General features: G+C 38.7%; 2 long non-coding RNA genes across 2 annotated transcripts in view, besides 1 other annotated feature; both read left to right on the forward strand.

The window, feature by feature from the left end:
* Positions 1–7,814, forward strand: part of CASC15 (cancer susceptibility 15) — a 529,408-nt gene extending 521,594 nt beyond the window's left edge. Inside the window, exons 11-12 of the long non-coding RNA NR_015410.2 lie at positions 3,561–3,650; positions 6,039–7,814. This is a non-coding gene — a long non-coding RNA (cancer susceptibility 15). The remainder of the gene's footprint in view (positions 1–3,560; positions 3,651–6,038) is intronic.
* Positions 10,494–11,693: an enhancer, noted in NCBI's record as "CDK7 strongly-dependent group 2 enhancer chr6:22198729-22199928 (GRCh37/hg19 assembly coordinates)". NCBI's record gives its function as "activates an origin of replication core promoter dependent on BRD2, BRD4, P300/CBP, MED14 and CDK7 cofactors, with strong dependence on CDK7, by STARR-seq in HCT116 cells {active_cell/tissue: HCT116}" and the evidence as "EXISTENCE:reporter gene assay evidence [ECO:0000049][PMID:35650434]".
* Positions 12,983–17,059, forward strand: LOC124901275 (uncharacterized). The gene is made up of 2 exons (XR_007059494.1): positions 12,983–13,235; positions 13,275–17,059. It is a non-coding gene; the product is annotated as an uncharacterized LOC124901275 (long non-coding RNA).
* Positions 17,060–22,597: the final 5,538 nt, after the last annotated feature.

The raw sequence follows: 22,597 nt of genomic DNA on the forward strand, positions 1-22,597 counted from the left end.
GCTAAAAGCACTATCACTCATACCTGAATGAAACTTCTCGAACACATGTATTTTTCTCCCTGAGGTCCATCACAGCCTTCTTACGCTGTCGAACCCAGTTACCACTTTAGCACTATGCTTGGGGGCCATTTTAAACATGAAATCACCAATTAAAAAAAGCACAAAAATGCAAAAAATGTGACATCAAATAGGCCTTGAAAAGAACACTTTTTGAGCTGAAATAAGAAGACAGAGCATCACTTTTTTCAACCTCAGCTGGGAACACATATGTCAGGTACTAACATTTTCATGACTCTACATATGTCTGTGACTGACCACAAACATGCTTTGAGTATGGATTTGGGAGCTACAAATAAATTTAGCAAATAGGTGAATTTGCAAATATAGAATTTGTAAATAATGAGGATCAACTGTTTGTGTACAGACACACAAATACACAAATATGTTTACTAGGTCTACGAGCTTGTAATGTAAAATGTATTTCTCAAAAGAAAGGATTTTTGGTTTGTTTTTTAGACATACATCCCTAAATAATCAGATTGCTGAGGAATGACACAGTGGACATTGCTTTAAGATGTAAACAGTAAGCAGAATGGGGTTTCGAGGCAAGCAGCCTAGATTAGAAGACTTCTATAGTAATCTAACCCCTTGAAGCAATGAGTGCAAAAGTGGGCCTGGGGACTAGGGAGAATTAAGCCAAGAAAAAAAAAGATGATAACTTGGTTACAAACTGAATATGTAAATAAAGAAGGAAAAATTGATGCTTATTCTGAAAGTATCTGGTGTAGAAATTAGAAGGGTGGTAGGTATAGTGAGATATGTTATATCTTGGAAAGAATAGAGCTTTGAATGCTGGTGGAATCCAGTTTCAGTCTTGCCTCTATGACTTTACTAGACATGTGATCTTTGGCAAGTCACAAAGCCTTCTGCCTCATTTTTACAATCATGCCATTTAAATATCAGTTAATTGCTACAGTTAAATGAGTCAATATACTATATATGTGACATTCGTAGAATACACTAACACCCAGGATGTAGCTGCAATATAAATAGGTGATATATCTGTATTATGTGTAATTATTCATAATATGTTTATTATATCTACATATTTATATATATACATGCAAACTATAGTATAATTACACCTGAAGAAATATTGGGACATCAAAGAAGAGTTACTCATCAGGCCATGAAATTAGGAGATGGCAATAAAGTTGAAAGGCCAGGATTACTATATATGTGGATTATCAGTTTTTCAAAGCACTAGAGTACAGGTAATATATATTAAAATTGCCTGACAAAATTTAAACTTTGTTTGAGAATGCATGCTAGGATCTTGCAACCGCCATAATCATAAATATCAATTTTTACCATATTGGCACAGCTCAAAATTGCTAGTAGAGAGGAACTTCTGATTGATGGACTACCAAATACGTAGGCTTTTACTGTAATTTGTTCTACAGGTTACAGTTAGTATTGTCAAAGCACGGCAGGCAACATTATAGATTTTAAGGCTGCAGTATCTTTATATCTCCCATGATATTAAATATAATTCAAACACAGAAAAATGCTCTTCTCTCATTATGTCTTTTCTTTTTGATGAGAGATGAATAGGTCCACTTGAGAAATGATTATATCGACTGTTGTACTTTAAATTTTCTTTAGCACTACAAAACTGGCAAGAAGTGGCAAGTCAGTAAGTCCAAATACACAGCTGATATGTGATTTCATATCACAGATATTCTGTCTGCAGCACAACAGAACACAGGGTATTGAGTTATCCCCCAATGAATTAAAGTCCCTCTTGCATCCTTTACATACCAATTTCATTAATATTAATAATTACTAATTCTAGCTAACACTTGCCAATGCATAATGGGAACTGCGTTTTTAACAAATGTTGCCTAACAAAGACTGTTATTTTTTTCTATATCTTGGTTGTGGTACAGTCTGATAGCTTTCAAAGAACAAGCCAAATTGTCAAACGCTGTTGGTTTGTAATGTCATGTTCGATCTGGAGCTGAGAAGTGCGGCCTCAGGTTTCTGGCCTGTCTTTTATGTCACAGAAGCACAGAATTGTTAAACAATCTGGGGAAATTGAAAGCAGCAAATGCGCAATAAAATTTTCTCTGTAGTTCAGTGCTACATAACAAAAGAGACCCATAAACTTTGTTCCATTCTGGCATTGGATGGTGACTTCTCTTTGGGAACGGCGGCCACAACAGATGTAAAGAAAAACAGAACTTTAAAAAAATAAACTTCAGGAAATAGTTTTCAAGTCTTTATTTTTCCCTGTGTTTCAGCTAATGCTCAAAGCTTTCCTAAAATGTTCTGTTGGAAATAGTGGGACTGGAATAAGCTCTATTTTCCATTTTGTCCCCTTGTTTCAGGGCTTTCAGATGTCCTTAATAACCCTGAACTTGTAGAATGTTTTAATTAAGAACTTCACTGTTAGAGTATAATAACATAAACCTAAGATCCCCCTGTGATAATCATGCTTTGTTTATGGTTTTACAACAAACTTGTGTTTTATCCTGTTGGTATATTTATTGTATCTTGGCATTTCTTTTGATGATGCCAAAAAAATCCCAGAAGCTTAAAGAGGGAGAGACAACCTTTGAAGCCACTTTGACTTTTGTTTTTTTTCTTGACAAAGTGTTTTATCTCTGAAGAATTCAATTCAGTACATGGGTCTTATGAGTACATTTATTGTACTAAAATGTCATATTTGCTTAGATCAAATGAAGATCAACTACACTGAAAATAAGATAGATAACTATTTTATAAAAGAATTCCTATCTTTCTCTGCCAAGAACACTGTATGTTTTTTCCTTGCATTAGGAAATGGGGATAATTTTGACACTTTTCACTTTATTTTAGAAAGAGCTTGTACTTTTGTTTTGTAAGGAAAATAAAAAAGGTAAGCATGGTAGGGCACAGTGGCTTGTGCCTGTAATCCCAGCACTTTGGGAGGTCAAGGCTGGAGGATCACTTAAGCCCAGGAGTTCGAGGCTGCAATGAGCTATGAATACACCACTACATCCCAGCCTGGGTGATAGAGCGAGACCTTGTCTGTGGGAAAAAAAAAAAAAAGTGTGAGTGATACTGTTTATTACGAAGCTTAATTTGCATTGAGGTTAAATGTTAATGGGATTCTCCTCTCTTCTTTTTCTAACTCTGAAATCCCATTCTAAGCCTTGAAATGGGCAGAGCAAGGTAGGAGTCTCCAGCAGGGAGGAGGAGGGGAGTTGTGGTGGCTCAGAGCAACATGTCAGACCCGAGAGGGTCAGTACTGATAGGGCACAGCCTGTCAAGGGCTGTCAGAGCCTTGGCAGGGTGACAAGGATGTTCACATGTGGGGACAGGCTGGTGTGGGGTTTTGGAGGACAAGCTGAGTGAGGCAGGTATCTAGAGGTAGAGTGGATTGGAATATGGACCCCCAAAATATTTGTCCAAGTGCTAACTCCTAGTACCAAACTCTGTATTAATTTCTCAGAGCTGCTGTAACTAATTATGTTTAACTTGATGACTTCATTCAACAGAAATTTATTCTTTCACAGTTCTGGAGACCAGAAGGCCAAAATCAAAAGTATGGGCAGGCTTGATTTCTTTAGAAGACTCCAGCGGAGAACTGTGTCTCCTTGCTTCTGGTGGGTATTGGCAATCCTTGGAGTTCCTTGGCTTGTAGGCACATCGCTTCAATCTCTGCTTCTGCTTTCACGTGGGGCTCCTCCCTGTATGTGTCTGTGTTGCCTCCTTTTCTGACTCTCATAAGAACACTTGTTATTGGATATAGAGCCCTCCCTAATCCAGGATGGTCTCATCTTGAGATCTTTATCTTGGTTATGTCTACAAAGACCCTTATTCCAAATAAAGTCACATTTTGAGATTTTGGGTGGACATGTGTTTTGATGTGCCACTATTCAACACACTACCAAAGAGGTCACTCATCACGTGGTTTCAGAGATCAAGAGGAGTGAGAATGGCATCCCTGTGAAGGGGTGGTTTCTTGTGGGGCATGAAAGCTTATGCAGGATAGGAGAGTATCTATGCTAGAAGTCACCCAGCATAAATGTCAGACCCCAAGTGGGGTGATGAGGCGAGATGAGAGATTGGTTACATATGGTAGACTGATCCAATAGGCAAGTAAGTATATTGAGGGTGAGAGGAGCCAAGTTTCTGTCATAGAAGCAAATTACAAATATAAAAAAGGAGAAAATTATGGAGTTGAAGGTACTGGTGTGAACTTGTAATTTGTAATAAATGAGCTATATTAATACATGGAGATGTAAATGTATGTGGGTGTATGTGTGTTTTATAATACCTAGCTCTGTTCACTGAAATAGGCTGGCAACATATCCACTGCGATAGCAACTAGCACATTTAGCATCCATATCTTGGCTTCTAAATACTGGTCTTCACCAGAAAGAGAGAGTTTTTCTTGGGAAAATGACCAGATTTCATAGAGGGAGTACATTGTATAGAGGGAGTACAATATCAAGCATTTTATACCAGAAAGTAAGGAAGTCCTTTAAAAAAATAATGGAGTCGTGTCAAAAGGGCGCAAAAATCATCCTGAAGAAGCTCCCATAAGCCAAATTGGGAATAATTTGACCATCAAAGTAAACGATAGTAATGTATTACCGCTCATTAAAGTACAAAACCGTTAAGTCCATCATTATCAAAGTAAGTGAGTAAATTGAAAATTTGGAATGAATGAGATATTTACATACTTTCAAATCTATCCCCCACAAAATATTTACTAATCACAAGGGGGAAAATGAATACATTTTGAATGGAGAAACATGCCGATGCCACCTGAACTGAGTGATCAAAGTGAACATCGTCAGTGATAGCATAAATCAAAATTACTTGTCACCCACCTGATAGAATGCAATGAGAAACATCTGTGATATTCCTGTCAGATGCATCATCTGAATCTTATCATGAGAAAGCACAATAAAGCCAAATTGAGGCATGTTCTACCGAATAAATGGATGGTAATTTTCAAAAGTCTTAGAGTTTTGAAAGCCAGGGAAAGACTAATGAACTAATGAAGGCATCTAGAGAGACATGATAACTAATTGCAATGTGTGTTTCTGAACTGGACACTTATTTTGACAATCAAATCTGAAAATTAGAGAGTAGTAATATCTCAACATATCAATTGCTTAATAAATACCCAGAGCAGAGTAAGCACTCAGTTTAACTATGATGATGACAATGATGACACTGACAATGATTACTGAAGGACCGCATGAAAAAATACACCTAGCAGGGGTGGGGGGAGCGGGGAGGGATAGCATTAGGAGATATACCTAATGTAAATGACAAGTTAATGGGTGCAGCACACCAACATGGCACATGTATACATATGTAACAAACCTGCACGTTGTGCACATGTACCCTAGAACTTAAAGTATAATAAATATATATATATATATATTAAAAAAAAAGAAAAAATACACCTATCATCTATCTACTCAATATCCTGGAATTCTGGAACAGGAGTGTTCTGGATTCATTTGCAAAAAAACTGGTTCCCCAGGTCTAATCAAATTAAATTGAGAGGTAAATTTAAATTATATGTATTTTTTATCCAACAGAGAAATAAAAAGCACTTTGCCAAACAGTTAAACACTTGCGACCCAGATAACTAAACTCTTCAGACCTAGGAATTCTAAAATTAAATTGCTTTCATGAAAGTAAAAAATTCAGTCTTCTTCCAACAACCAAAGAGGAATGAATATGAAAAGAGAGGCTGAATTGTCCCAACACTGAAGAGTTGGGAGCAATTCATTGAATTGTAGAACTGGAAGAGATAGTGTAAGTGTGCCAGGATCTTTCTATAATGCTAGTTTGGAAGACTGATCCCTCATTTTCCAAGGGAAAAATAAATCCCAGTGTCATAGCTGCATTCCTGTGTAGATCTTTGCTTAGGTTTTCTAAAATTCAGAGCTCAAAGTATATCATCCTTTGTATTTAAGGAAGTCTTATGGGTATCCTCACTTACTCATGGTGCAATAATATTCCTGCAGATTCTACATCTCCATCCATGGGCCACTGTTTCAGCAACCTCAGCCAGTGCAACACAACCTCAGCCAAGAAGAGTATGCAGAGAAAGGAGTCCCCTACCTGCCACAAAACTGTTGTCTGAAAACTGTCTCATATTGTCTCAAGTTGTCATTCATTGTGAATTAGACCTGTTTAACATGTAATCTGCAACATGCTTCACTGTCTAATTTTCCAGAGCCCCTCATATAAGGAACTGTATTATTGGTATAATCATCATGGTGAAGAAGTTGGTATGTGGGGGAGAGATGACAGAAACAGAGAGTAAGTCAGAGCTGGCTGCCTGACAGATAAAAAGGAAATGACCAAAAAAAAAAAAAAAGACACAGAAGAATACTTTGTTGTCCACACAGAAAAGGGAAGTGTAGGTAAGACAGCAGTAGACTAAGATTCTTAAGACTCAAGTTCTAGTCTTATTTATTAGCTATGGGAGGCCTTGAGGGAGTTCTAGAATTAAGTGATCTCTCTTTATAAAATAGGAACAGTAATAACTTCCTGGCTAACTCCCTGGCTGTCTCACAATGCTGTAGTAGTAAGAAATAATTTTATAATTAAAGACTATTTTAGGGCTGATTACATTTTTGGGCAGTGGCTCATACATGTAATTTCAACATTTTGGGAGGCCAAGGTGGGCGGATTGCTTGAGCCCAGGAATTCAAGACCAGGCTGGGCAACACAGACCTTGTCACTACAAAAGAAAAAAACATTAGCTAGGCGTGGTGATGTATGCCTGTGGTCCCAGCTACTCAGGAAGCTGAGACAGGAGGATCACCTGAGCCTGGGAGGTCGAGGCTACAGTGAGCCATGATCACACTACTGCACTCCAGCCTGGGAAACAGAGTGAGACTCTGTCTCAAAAAAAAAAAAAAAGGAATATTTTACACTTCAAGGTTCTATACAAATGTAAAATATCATTCTATTACTTATTTATAATGCTGATTATTCTTTAAATGACTTTAAAATGTTAATCTCTGCTTGAGCCTACGGAGAAGTATGTAACAAATTTGTGAAGGATTGGCATTAAACATAGTCAAAATAAAACATAGAAATTATGGTAAATAATTTAACTGGTAAAATAATCTAAGTGGTAGTTCTCAGGTAAGTGGAAATTCGATTAGCTGATTGTTTAGGATTCTTGGTTATAAGTGACAGAGACCTGACTAAAAGTACATGAAGCACATAACTGAGAAGGTTGTGGTATGGCTCAGCAGAAATGGGAAAATCTTGGGACTGGTTCGTGTTTTATTTACATTATCTTTGTTCCCAGGCAGTCTCTGCATGTAAGTGGCAAAGATGACTGTCTGAAAATATATACCTACTTTTTTAAAGGGCTATCTCAAGCCATTCTGGAGAAGCACCAAAAGCCACTTTGCTTATACTGGGAGAATAGTTTGCTTTCCCTAATTTGTGATGAGTGAAACACTGAACAGAGACATAGAATAATATTCTGTAGTTCAGGGTTGGTGTAATATGGCCAGTGGGCGGAATCTGGTCCTCAGACTGATTTTGCAAATAATCTTATAGAAACACAGCAACACCCATTCATTACATGTTGTTTATGGTTGCTTTGGGGTTACAATGGCAGAGTTGAGTAGTTGTGACAGAGATCACTAGGCTCACCACATCTGAGATATGTACTGACTGACCCTGTACAGAAAGTTTGCTGCTCTTAGAGGAATGTGTGTTTCTAGTGTCAGCAATAAACTTCTTGGATTTGTTTTGTTTTCTCATCTTTACATGATAGTTGCAGACTAGTTGATCCTTGTGACCTGTTTTTGAATGCCACTGTGTATTCTGTCAGGGCCCTCTGATTCTGTTTCTTATGGTGCTGAATGCACAATTTAATGCCCTGGAATTTCCTTCTGTCTTCTGCTAAACTCATGCCTCTTCAGATAGTTAAAATCCTGTTCTACCTTAGAAGTCTCCAGAGTTATTTTCCTAAATTAAGAAGAACTGGCTTTGAAGTTACTCATTATGCCACACACAATGGTTGAAAAGAGCATCTCTTATGTACTGTGTATATTTCAGCATCCACTCAGCTTCTTAGGTAGAAAAGGAAGAGTCTTCCACAGTGTATTTTATCCATATTTGGGTCAGAAACTCTTCTTTACCACGGAGCGTGATGGAAGAAAGATATGGGATGGTAACAGTAGGCCAGGGATGTAATAATCACAAAATTTGAGATATTTTGTGACTGGTGACTCACGCCTGTGATCCCAGCATTTTGGGAGGCCAAAGCGGGCGGATCACCTGAGGTCAGGAGTTCAAGACCAGCTTGGCCAATGTAGTGAAACCTCATCTCTACTAAAAAAATATAAAAATTAGCTGGGTGTGGTGGTGCACACCTGTAATCCTAGCTACTCAGGAGGCTGAGGCAGGAGAATAGCTTGAACCAAGGAGGTGGAGGTTGCAGTGAGCTGAGATTGTGCCACCACTGCATTCCAGTCTGGGTGACAGAGCGAGACTCTGTCTCAAAAAAAAAAAAAAAAAAAATCTAGAAAAAGATCTCCAAGATTCAATCATCTAATTATTTCTTTTAAAAATGAGAAAAATGACTCCTGGTCAGCTTTTACCTTCTTTTTCCAACTGTCTTGACAATACTTTCATATTGGGCTTTTAAAGTCTCAAGTAATAGGTTTTTAAAACCTCAGCTGATAAAAGTATAAAAATAAAGTTAAAACATATTAAAGACAAAACCCAAGAATCAGCTTCCTCTTCCTTCATTACTCTTGCATGGGTGTTGGCTCTAATTTCTCCATCTAGTTAGGCAGTCCTTTGCTTTTTATTGCTTGTTTATTGATGACATTTGCCATTTGTAGCAATAGTAATAGAATCATCTATATATTTGTGGCCTTGTTGAATGTAGAAAAAGGATAGTGGCATTTTCTAATTGTGTAACCCTATAACACCTTGACGGGGGACTACAGTTCATATGCTGGACCTTTTGTGTTTGTTCATGGCGGGTGGGTTGCTTTAATATACTTAGCACATTGTCCTAATTGCCATCCTTTTGGGGAGGGCTATATATCCAAGCTAATATGGTAGCATTTTTGTTTTAACATAGAGCTGACCCAAGGTAGACGTAAGTGTTGTTCATTTTTGCCTAATACTAATAAAATTACCTAATTGTTGAAGCTTGGAGCTTGAATCTAGGCATTTTATTTCATTTCAAGTACACCCTAGTATTTTAAAGCATAAATATCCTACTATCCTCAACAACTTTAGAACAAAAATAAATATTTTAACAAGAAAAAAGCATGCCATGACAAGCTGTAACTTAGTAAAGAAAGACAAGGAATGGTCTCTATAGACCGAGAAAAAATAGGTCCTCAGATATATTTATACCAAAGGAATGTTATGAATGTAAAAAACAGTTTGACTCCCCCCCCCCCGCCAAAAAAAAACTCCACAACCCTATATTTTGTTATCACAAGACTGTTTTAGTGAATAAAACAGTATGAATTGGTTTTACCTGTTTCCATTTAATACTTATTAACTTTATAATCGTATAGCCTGAGGGTTTTAACTTCAAGTACAGCATGATGACTATAATAGTTTTACACAAGGCAAATGTGAAAAACAGAAGTAATTTCTTTTAAAAAGTGTGAAATATCTAAAAGGTATGACTTCAATACATCAACTCAGGTGAGACAGACATGTAACTTCTTTTTCCATGTTTAAACCTAATATTGCTTTTGTGCCTCTGAAGGCTCGGAGTTTCCATGCCTTCTTAGGACATGCCACCCTCTCCACACCTGGATGTGTTCACCAACCCAGAAGCTCTTGGAACCCCATCATTTGGGGTTTTTATGGAGTCCCCATTAAGTAGGTATGACTGATTAAATCACTGGCCATTGGTGGTTGACTCAATCTCCAGCCTCTCTTCCCTCTCTGAAGGTGAAGGGGTGGGAAGGTGAGGCTAAGTTCCAACCCTCGGATCACAGGGTTGGTTCCTCTGCAACCAGGCTTCATCGTGAAACAATACAGGGCCCACCGAGAGTCACCCCATTAGCAAACTCAGATGTGATTGAAAGGGGCTTATTATGAATATCAAAAGACATTTCTCTTTCTCCTATTACTCAGACAGTTACAAGGGTTTCAGAAGCTCTTGCACCAGGAACTGGGAACAAAGACCAAATATATATGTCTTCTTCTATTACAATGTCACAGGTGTGACAGAGTAGGTAAATGGAGTCTCAGAGAGTCCCCAGAGTATTCCATGGAGCCACAAAATGAAGAATAAATGGATGGTTCTCCCCATGATCAAAAGTGGCCTGAAAATACTTGAGAATGAGTCATAACTTAAAAGGCTGTATAGTAGAAAAGAATGCACAGAGGACCGAATGTAAAAGAAGGCACCCCAGTCTCAGCTAGTGTGGATGCATGCCAGTGTAGAAAGATGCTAGTGTGGCTACATTGGTGCACTGAAGACCAAACTCCTGCATGGCCCCACATCCTTGATACCTTAGATCTATATCATCCCCTAAAACTTAGGTGTTATGACATTCAGGATATGCTACCCCATCATTTTTTAGGCTGAAGGAATTTGAGAAAACAGAAGCAGGAATGTAATTGCCCAGTGGGTTCTTCCTGCCCTGTGCACAGACAAAACCAGTTCACTGAGACCATGGTATTGCAGTTAAGAAAGAGTTTAACAGGAGGCTGGCCACATGGAAGAATTACAGTTATTACAAATTAGTCTCCCTGAAGGCTCAGAGGTCAGGGTTTTTCATGGATAGTTCGGTGAGCAGTGGATTAGGGGTAAGTGCTGCTGATTGGTTGGGGATACAATCATAGGGGTGTGGAAAATGGTCCTTGTGTGCTGAGTCACCTCTGGGTGGGAGGCCATGGGACCCATTGAGTCATGAGTCACGAGGCTGGGTTGGGTCAGTGTGAAAAACATCTCAAAAGACCAATCTTAGGTTCAAAATAGGTGATATTACCTGTAGGAGCAATTGGGAAAGTTATAAATTATATGACCTCTTGGCCCCATGACTTCTGAGCAGTAAGAGATGATAGAAACTAAACCTACATTTTATCAGCACTCAGGCCTCTTCCATAATCCTAATCTTGTGGCCTTTCGTTAGTCTTATAAAGGTGGTTTGGTAACTGCCCTCAAGCAAGGAGGGGATCAGTTTTAGGGAGGTGCTATTATCATCCTTGCTTCAAAGTTAAGCTGTAAACTAAATTCCTCCCATAATTAGCTTGGCCTACACCCAGAAATGAGCAAAGACAGCCAGCCTGTGATGTTAGAAGCAAGATGGAGTTAGTCATGTTAGATTTCTCTCACTGTCATAATCTTTGCAAGGGAGGTTCCAGGAAGGTCATCCTACCTTTCCCCTCACCCTTCTCATGTGACACAGGTCATAAAGCCTAGGAAGGATTTTCCGACCTTTCCCTGAAGCAGGTCGTAAGACCCTCATTGGGGAGGTGCCATTTCTAGACCAAGAGAAAAGGCACATCCTTATGTCTGAAGACACAGGGACACAGAGAAGAATCTGAACAAACAGGTCTTGCTAAGTTCCCCCCAGTTTGTTTTCATTAGATCATGCCCCTTTATTCAATGCTGTTTCTCCACAACTATCCATTTCTTCATCAAGCCTAGCATAAAAAATACAGGTTTCACGGTTTCTTTGGGTCTTCATTTCCTTATAAAGTCTCCTGTACCATGTAAAACTTAAATAAGTTTCTCTGCTTTTCTCTTGTTGATTCTGTCCTTTGTTTTATAACCCTCAGACATGAACCTAGTGATGAGTGAGGGGAAGATAATTTATTTTCCTCTACAGATGCAAAAGGGAAAAGGGAACAATCCCTAAACGGAAGTTATGATCCAGGGATCAGAGGCTCAAAAGCAAGATTAGGTTTAAATGTAGAAAAATACATTCCTCTTTCATTTTAGATATCCCAAATGCCCAAATCAACCCAGCTATTTCTCAGAAGTCTGTTTCCCCTCCACCCTCTGCTCCTCTGTGTAGTGAAACTGTCTCGTTTGGGAGTAAAATGGCCTGGCTTTCCTTACTGAGTATACTCTCAAGACTATTGCCTATTACTTTTTTCCATTCCTTCTTGAGAACTACGCTTTTTAAAACAAGAATTGACTCCATTTATCTTTTTCTTTTAGCCTTCTGCTGGGGTATGCCTTCTCTAAAGCAATGAATAAAAAATGCTTTAGCTGAATAAATGGGGCAAGGATCAAGGAGTACAAGCTAATATTTCACAATATTATCCTGCCATAAATAAAAGTATGGTTTAAATGACAATGGTGGGGTTAGGAGTTACAGGTCACTGAAACACCACCTTATTCATGCTACCAGCCCCTTGGCTTTCCTGATGGCAGCAGGGAAGCAACACATAGGTAGAATTATGAGCCAACATCGTGACTGGAGAGGGATTGAAAATCTTATTTGTTGTCTTCCTAGACTATTACAGTTATCTGTTGAAATTAGACTCAATTCTTTGGCGAAAGTACTCATTTTTAAGGTCCATAATAAATTGTAACTATGTAGCCTTTGTTGCATGAGTTTAGTATGAGCTGATTGGTGGGCCACAGTGAAAGGCAGAGGGAAATGGATGTTAACTAAGAGGTAGAAGTCCCCTTGAAGTTCTGACCCTGTCACTAATGAAGTCTTTATTTCCGTATTTAGTAATTGCCTTTTTTTTTTTTTTTTGAGACAGAGTCTTGCTCTGTCGCCAGGATGGGGTACAGTGGCACAGTATCTGCTCACTGCAACCTCCGCCTCCCAGGTTCAAGCAGTTCCCCTGCCTCAGCTTCCTGAATAGCTGGGACTACAGGTGTCTGCCGCCATGCCTGGCTAATTTTTGTATTTTTAGTAGAGACGGGGTTTCACTATGTTGGCCAGGATGGTCTCGATCTCCTGACCTCGTGATCTGCCCACCTCAGCCTCCCAAAGCTAGGATTACAGACGTGAGCCACCATGCCCGGCCAACTGCCTTCTTTATATCTCATTTTAAAAATTTATAACAAAGAAGTGGGTTGATTTTCAAGACCTAGTTGTGTTAGTTTGAATGAGATGCATACATTTGGCAAGTCTGGGGTCTAAGAAAAGATAAAGATCTGAATGCTGAAAATCTAGAGAATTCAGGTTACTGGGGGATAACTTAAAGTCACTAGGGAATTCGGGTTACTGGGGGGATAACTTAAGGTCACTAGGGAATTCGGGTTACTGGGGGGATAACTTAAGGTCACTAGAACCCAAATGCAGGGAAGAGTTGGGTGCTCTTTGGCAAATAAACATTCCTGACTTAGCATTTTTCTTAAACCCGAACGTGCCAGCTGTTTTTTTGTTTTTTTGTTTTTTTGTTTTGTGACCTCAGCCAGGCTTGCGTGTTTATTCATCACATATTCTAAGCTCATATACAACTGTGACCTGATCCAGCCTTCAAGGAACTCACTCTTGATTTTAGGAATCTTTCCACCACTTCGATTTCATCTTACTCCTGAAACAGTCAGCCAGAACTGTCTAATTCAGTCTATACTTCTGATACAAAACTCTACCCAGCAACCACTATGGTTTTGTTGCTTTAGGTACGTGTTAGAAAGCACCCACATCAATTTACAGAAAATCCTTAACTGAATCTCTAGTCCCAGAGGAGTCATATTTTATTATATGGTGCTTTTTATTTAAAGAGATCGGTTTAATAGAAATTACTCAGGCATTTGAAGTGATAGCTTTAAAATGTGGGACTGGGGAAAATAAGAACACTTGACCTCTCTCCATAAAATTGAATTGTTCTTTAGGTTTAAAGTTTTGACAGACAAAGAGAAAGTGAGAGCAAGTGAGGGTGAAAATATATCCTTATTTGGTAATGAGTACCCATTAAGAGGACAGTATATTACATTTCATCTTCTTACTTCACATTCCTGTTTTAAGGATTTGTGAGCAAAGTGCTGTGAGACCTCTAGAGTTAAGAGGCTGGAGATAGGTAGTTTTGATGGTATTTTAAGGAGTGCTCCATAATGTGTAGTGTCTGAGTGCTGAAGCTTAATCAGCTTCAATTAAATCCAAAACATACTGAATAGCTCCTATGTGTCTGGCATTGAGCTGTGTGCCAAAGTGGTGGAAAGATGTAAGAGCCACTGAGGCTTAGAGATGAAAAGGATCTTGGAGCCACTGGTTTCCTGCCTGCTGGAGTTTCACCATCAAGGACCCTTTCGTTATTTTCCTTCTCCCATGCATTTTATTAAAATTTTTGGTTTAGTAAACCAAATTCACTAATGGGATGTTATTTTCATATCAAAGAGTATAATTCTGCCAATCAAGGCTTCTGATCAGCATAAAATAATTAGGTTTCATACTGAATGCACAAATTCTAGTCAAAAGCAAAGCCATTTGATGACATGTCTGCTATGTTGCCATTTGCTTTAAGAGAGGTAAAGGTAGCCTGACTTCTGTTCACTCTGTAGTACAGAATACATTGTTAACAAGTCATAGGTATGTTCTTTTAGGTTTCTAATTACTGTCAGCCTCTCATTTCAGACAGGTGATGTGATAAGGTGAAATGATTACTATATTTAGACTCAAAAGTCCTGAGTTTGAGTCCTCGTTTAACGATCTAGTCCATGAGCTTCAGTTTTCTCACCTGTTAAATGGAAATGATGATTATTTCCTGGAAATTGCATTTCCAGGTTGTTTTGAATGATAAATGATATGGTGTATATATCAGCTGTTTGCAAACCAGAAAAAGCTATTCTATGGTAAACACATGCAGTGGGCTGAATTGTGTCTCCCAAAATTCATATGTTGAAGTCCTCACCCCCAGGGCCTCAGAATGTGACTGTATTTGGATCTAGGGTCTTCAAGAGATAACTAAGTTAGAATGAGGTCATTTGGGTTGATCCTAATCCAACTGACTGATATCCTTATAAGACGACGAAATTTGGATACAGAAATACACAGAAGACAGGGAGAAGATGGCCATCTACAAGCTAAGGAGAGAGGCCTCAGAAGAAACACACCTGCCACACCTTGAATTTGGACTTCTAGCCATCAGAACTGTGGGAAAATAAATTTCTGTTGTTTAAGCCAGGAGTCCTCAACCCCCGGGCTGTGGACCTGTACCAGTCGGTGGCATGTTAAGGACTGGGCTCCACAGCAGGAGGTGAGTGGTGGGCGAGTGAGCATTACTGCCTGAGCTCCACCTCCCGTCAGATCAGCAGTGGCATTAGATTCTCATAGGAGCACAAACCCTATTGTAAACTGAGCACGCAAGGGATCTAGGTTGTGCGCTCCTTACGAGAATCTAATGCCTGATAATCTGAGATTGAACAGTTTTATCCCCAAACCATCCCCTCCACCACCCCCGTGGTCTGTGGAAAAATTGTCTTCCACAAAACTGGTCCCTGGTGCCGAAAAGGTTAGGGACCAGCGGCTCAAGCCACCCAGCCTGTGGTACTTTGTTACGGTAGCCCTGGCAAATGAATACAACACGTTTTAGACTATGATGTTACACATGCAGTGTGTTGAGAGCCAAAGAACCCAAATGATTCGTGGTATCTGCCCTTGAAGAGTTTTTAATCTTTTTGGGCATGATGAAACATACACATGGAAAATAAAATAGCATATAACCAAGTGCCCAAATCAGTAATAAATACAGTTGACTCCATAAACATTTAGGAACCTTCTATCCCATGTTTCCACATTCTATCCCAGTGGCTTTTGCCACTAAATTTCTTCACCCACTATTAGACTGATGTTTTCATCTTTCAGTATCAGACTCAAGCTTTAATCTAGAAAGAGGGGGTGGGGGGATAAATGCTATACTTTGGAACCAGTCCGGATATTTTAAGTATGTTTTTAAAAAGTATAATCCTCACAACATGAAAGTTATTAGTTCTATTTTTCAGGTGAGAAGAGTTAAGGTCAAACAGACGAAAGCTAGTTAGTGGAGGGACTGGTATTCCAAGCCCATTCTGGTTAAACTAAATCTTGTGTTCTTTCCACTAGAAAACTGCTTTTTGTCTTAATTATAATTTTGTGACAAGGATGTATAGTCCATTAAGGAATATATACAACAGAAGAAGCATTTAAGTGGACTTGAGGTTTGTGAATCTGAACTAGTTTCTATCGACTTTCACATCAGCAGCTCCTATTCTGGGGAAAGAGAATGGAGGCTGGGAGTGATCCTGACAAACCTTGATGTGCAGGCTTGTGGAGAAACTGGATTCACACCCAGGCTCGTGGAGTGTGGGAGAGGCTGGCCTGTCACAATATCAGGACAGCCTCTCTTAATAACACTGCAGAAGGAATCGAGGGCCCTGTGGTTTGCGGTCAGTGTGCCTCTTGTGCCAACTTTGGCACTACAATGTCTTCAATCACATTATCTTCCAAACCGGCTCTTCATCCTATGTCCTTATTTCTGCTAATGGTATTCATTTCTCTTATTCATGGACTCTGGGAATCTTGGTGGTATTAAAACCTGTCTCTTCTTTCCCCCTCGATCTTCCACATTCCATTTCCTTTCAGCAGAATCCCAAGCCTTCACCATTTTTCATTTTTGGTGCTGTTTCAGAGTTGCTGTGAACTTTACCTGGGTCCTCTATCACCTTACCCAGCCATTTGTCATTCTGCCTGGTAAAGGGTTGAGCAGATTTATCTATATGAATGATCTTATTTAAGCTATTCTGTACACCTTCTGCTACTTAAACAGGCTCTATGCTTCCACATCTGCTCTCTATCTGCCTATGTGACTCAAACTTCAATTGTCCATCTCAGACATCACATCCTCCATGAAGCCCTCTTGGGTTATTTGAAGTAATCTCTCTTCTGGGCTCTCATAGCATTACTGCTTGTAACTCTTTCAAAAGATGAATTTTGTGCTGTTGTTTACTTAATGAGTACAAATTTAGTGATAAATTTGAAAAACTTGTGTCCATGTTTGATAAATATGAAAATCTCATCATTTTCAATATTTCTTAGAATTTCAAAATGTACTAAATATTATTAAAAACCAATCATGGCAATTTTAACATTGAGTATTCTTTTTTGAAATATGAATGCTCCTCTCTCAAGACTGGTATACTTTCTCACTCTACTCCCTTTTCAAGTGCCCTTATCGAACTTTGCTGATGAAATCATCTTTTCTTAGTTTGTTAGACTTTGGATGGTGGAGACCTGTGCCTGCTACTTCTCTCATCTCCTGATACCTAATGCATAGTGTTCAGTAAGTATTTATTTGGTGATAACAATATCAAAAACTAGATAATGCTTAGAAGATCCAACACCTTCCAAAATCTCTGTTAACCAGGTACTGAAATATGGTCAACCAGATGAGCTGAAATGTCAAGAACTTATAGACACACATGGTTTCATGGTTGTGAAACTAGAAGATGTGGCATATTTTACACAATGGAGGGAAGAGCAAAGGTTATGCATGTGCGGAGGCAGAGCCCCTAGGCAGGTTTCCCTCTTTTCCTTCCTGTGCACTGATTTTTATTTTGGTGAACTGAAACAGGGGTCTAACAAACTGGTATCTCATTTGTCTTTATAAACAGAACTGCCAGATTGGCTTTGCAATTCAGGGCCCTGTAGGGTGCCCACCTCCTCAGTTTGGGCAGCAGCATTACATCTGAGTCTTAGAATAAAAATGGAAAGCAATGGCTCAACCCATTGGTTTGTCACCATCCACATGAAGGATCTCTATTGGTAAAAAAACAGACTCCCGTGTTCAAGGCCCTGGGGCTGGAATCAAATCCATCATTCATTTATTTCGGTTTTTTAAGGCTAAATACATAGGGAAGAAAATGAAATGTGAGAAAGCTGTGCATTTTCAATGTCATCTTGAAAGTGAGTATCTTTAGACACATAAAGTAGATGAGTGGTTAACTTGGGCTGGGAGAGGGAGTGAGGAGTGGTTGTACATGGCACAAGGTTTCTATTTAGTGTGATTGAAATGTTCTATAATTTGATTGATGATTGTACAGTTCTGTAAATAAACTAAAATGTATTGAATTGTATAATTAAAACATGCAGATTTTATATTTAAAATATACTTTGATAAAAGTGTTTTAAAAATGAATATCTCATAGGGTAGAATGAAATGAATAAGAGAAACAGTGAGGCATCCAGGGGACTTTCTGCACAGTGGGTCTGTCATTAGGCAGGTACGTTGCCACAGCCAGTTCTAATGCCCACTCATAGGCCAATGCCTAGGACAATTGCTCAGATATCGCCTCTGACAGGCAAGTGTTCCATCAGTAACAGCAGGCATCGGAAGATGATGCCATTCCCTGCTGTTAGTATGATTATATTGACTTAGGTTTTTAATTTTCTTTCTTGCTGTGTTTTTTTTTTTTCACCTTCTTAGCCTCTAAAGCATGAACATCTGTGTTTTTCAGCTGCCTTTTCAGAAGGCAATAAAAAGGGTTTGTTCGATTTCTCTCTTCTGGATCTTCTGGATTATCAGCGCTCCTTACTGGCTTAACCAAACACAAACATGAAACAACTTGGAAAGGATCACAAAATAAAAGATTGCAGTGTGTCTGCTGTGGACTGAACCGTATCCTCCCTCAACCCCCAAATTCATACATTGAAGCCCTAACCCCCAATGTGATTGTATCTGGAGATAGGGTCTTCAGGAGATAATTAAACTCAAATGAGTTCTTAAGGGTGAGGCCCTAATCCAATAGGACTGTGACCTTATAAGGAGAAGAAAAGAGATCATCCCCCTCCCACCACCACTGTGGGAGGACACAGCAAGAAGGCAGAGAGCCCTACGGAACCTAGCGGACAGCTATACATTGATCTTGGACTTGCCTACTTCCAGAACTTTGAAATATAAATTGTTGTGTAAGACACCCAGTCTGTGGTATTTTATGATGGCAGCCCAAGTGAGTACAGTGTCCTTCCAGAAAAAGAACTATGTCCCTAAGTTGAGGGTATTCACTTCTCCATAATAATAGATGCTCTGAAACATTCATGCCAGTTTGCTCCTGTTGCAGAAATAAGGACAGGATTGTTTTCTTTTTGTTTTGTAATGCCTCCCCAACTAATTTCCCTTAGGCTCTTCTCATTCATATAATCTCTCAAGCCAGACTGGGTAGAGTCATCCTTGTCTCTGTATATGTCATCCAAGTTATCTTTTCTCTATACCTCAGTCAGTCACTAGATGTGATTTGATTTTACTTCCTATATGATCCTTTTATCTGTTCTCTCATCTCATTTTTTATCCCCCATGCTTTTGTTCATTTCAACATCATCTCTCATATGAGTTATTATAATTACCTCCAAAATCTACTTTGGTGATACCTTTGCCTGTCAATAACTTCCGGTTACCTCCAGAAATACAACCTACTTCAATGTCTCTCATGCTCTGTATTAGTCCGTTTTCACACTGCTATGAAGAACTGCCTGAGACTGAGTAATGTATAAAGAAAAGAGGTTTAATTGACTCACAGTTTTGCTTGGCTGGGGAGACCTCAGGAAACTTACAATCATGGTGGAAGGGGCAGCAGGCACGTCTTACATGGCAGCAGGTGAGAGAGAGGGGATGTGTGGGGGAACCACCACTTATAAAACCATCAGATCTCATGAGAACTCACTCACTATCACAAGAAAAGCATGGGGGAAACAGCCTCCATGATCCAATCACCTCTCACCCGGTCCCTCCCCTGACATGTGGGGATTACAATTCAGATTACAATTCAAGATGAGATTGGGGTGGGGACACAGCCAAATCATATCACATTCCAATCCCTTGCTATGTCTTCAGACCTAATTCTACTCATTGCTCTTATATTAATCTCCATTACTGCTGTACTTCTTGCAGGATATGAGCATAGCATATGGCTTCATTCCTATGTGTCTTTGACAGGTCTTTTTTCTTCCTGAAATGTCTTCACTCCTGTATGTCCTCATCCATTTTTCTGTACAGCTTAAGTGGTATTTATGGCCAGGGTGAATTTATATTTTAAACTGGGATACTTTTGAGAGTAAAAGTAAGCACTTGTTAATTATTACTCCAGAACCACAGATGTAAACTGAAATTATTTTAGGTAAATAGTAACAAATGTTATCCTAATCTCAGCTAAAATTTTATACTCTGCCTACTTTAGAAATCTATAACACAATCAGTAACACATCATAACTCCCCTTTTGTTTCGACATGGTCATGGTCATTTGCAAATAGCAGCTGAGAGGCTGACAAGCTGTGCAGAACTCTAGCAGACTTACAGGGCTGAGGAGATTAAAATTAAATTTCTGGGACTTCCAATATAAAGGGACCTGGAAAGACCCCAGGTTTTTGTCTGGAGCCTCAAAAAAGTTGCACAATAGAAAGAGAAGTGAAAAGAAAATAGAAGAGCATCTATAACAACTCCAACCCAGATTCAAACAGCAAAATACCCCATCAAACGAAAGTGATTTGCTTTAACTTAATTGAATATCTGAAGCAAAATTAAACCCAAATCTCAGAAAATATCATCTGGAGCCTCAAATTATCTCTCCAGTTTGTTTTTATTACAATGCCTTGCATGTAATAAAAAATAATTAGGCACACCAGAGGACTAAATAGATTGAACACAAATAAGGAGAAATAATAAAAAATAATAAAAGTAATCCCACAAGTCATCCAGATATTGCAGTTATCAGATGTGGACTGATTAACATGTTTAAGAAATTATGTGCTAAAATGAAGGATAATAGCAAACAACTGAAAAATATTAAAAAACTGAAATCAAGATCAGAATATAGGGGTTTAATAGCCAATTAGACATAGCTTAACAGACAACTGGGATTATAGGTCTGTTTCTGTTCCTTTTCTCTGAAAGTAAAAAAAAAAAAATACTAAGACTGGAAAATGATACAAATTTGTAAAAGAAGAAATATATGAAAAACAGTGAATTGGTCTAATATATATGTAAGTAAAATCTTAGAAGCGGAGAAAGGAAATGGCACCAAAACAATGTTAGAAAAGATGTTTAAGAATTAGCAAAAACTGATGAAACACATCTAAACACAAATTTAAAAAGCCTTACCAACCCAATGTAGAAAAAACAGAAAACCAAAATAAGGCACACCGTAATACAATACGCAAAACAAAGGACAAAAAGAAAATCTTAAAAGTATTCAGAGAGGATTTCTTGTTTCAGCCAAAAATGAGTACCTTGTATCACATTAACACTTTTGCCAAGCACAGTGAAAAGCTAGATAAATTTTAAAAAAAGAAGGTCAAAGCCATTGGAGTATAACTAATGCAGGAAGGATGTAAGGTGCCACAATTACCAATGGAAGGGTAGCACATTAAGATGAGCTTCACAGTCACACTGACATTTTCCTCAAGGGCATTTTTCAGATCATGGCGTTGGGGGAATAGTATCTGAGCAGAAGACAATAGTATCATTGACTTAAGAAGACAGAGGTTGTAACTTGGGGCTGTCAAAGTTGCTAGGACATGAAGGCCAATATCTAGAGAGGAAAAAACTGTAATAAAATGAGGTCAAATGTTGCTATATCTATGTTGCACATGTACAAAATAAAAAAAATCATGCTGAAAGCAGCAAAGATTTGAGCAGTTGTGACTGTTAGGGGGATAAATATTGGAGTTTCGAGTCAGCTAAAGCGGACGGACCCTGGTAACTACCTCAGACTTCTGTCTGAGAATTGGGAAATGCCACATCTTAGGAGAAAGGTCTATACCAAAGGGTAAGGGAAAAACCTATCTATAAACGTAGAACAAACCTATCACAGGATCAGGGTGATGTGCCTATATTCTGTCTGCCACAGAAAAATTTTCTCTTTTCAGATGAAGGGGTCATTATCCAGAGCCTCAAAATTTTTTATTCATAGGTCTATTACCAAAACTTTTTAAATTGAGGCATACTATATAGTACAACCCAGGCCAGGCGTGGTGGTTCACAACTGTAATCCCAGCACTTTGGGAGGCCGAGGCAGGCAGATCATTTGAGCTAAGGAGTTTGAGACCAGCCTGGCCAACATGGTGAAGTCCCATCTCTACTAAGAATATAAAAATTAGCCAGCGTAGTAGTGTGTGCCTGTAATCCCAGCTACTCGGGAGGCTGAGGCAGGAGAATGGCTTGAACCCAGAGGTGGAGGTTGCAGTGAGCCAAGATCACGCCACTGCACTCTAGCCTGGGTGACAGAGCAAGACTCCATCTCAAAAAAAAAAAAAAAAAGAGAAACTGCCTGTAATGTGATTCAGATACTGAAGTCATCAGAGTCTTCAAAATAATTTTGAATAGTATATTCGAGAAAATAACATGAAAAATGGATCTTTTCAGCAGAGACATGAAATCTGTAAGAAGGAATCAAATTGAATTTTGGAACTGAAACATACATTATCTGAAATTAACAATTTAGTAGATTGTTTCTATTAATTATGCAAAGGAAAACAGGATTAATAAACAGGAAGACAAGTCAATATAAAATGACCATATTGAAGCACTGAGAGGAGATATGGAAAATATCTAAAGAGTCATATGAAACAAAAATAATATGTAAATAGATACTGACCAAGAATTTTCAAACTTATCAAAAGTGTTCAAGATACT

Source organism: Homo sapiens, chromosome 6, assembly GCF_000001405.40.
Source record: "Homo sapiens chromosome 6, GRCh38.p14 Primary Assembly".
Classification (NCBI taxonomy): domain Eukaryota; kingdom Metazoa; phylum Chordata; class Mammalia; order Primates; family Hominidae; genus Homo; species Homo sapiens.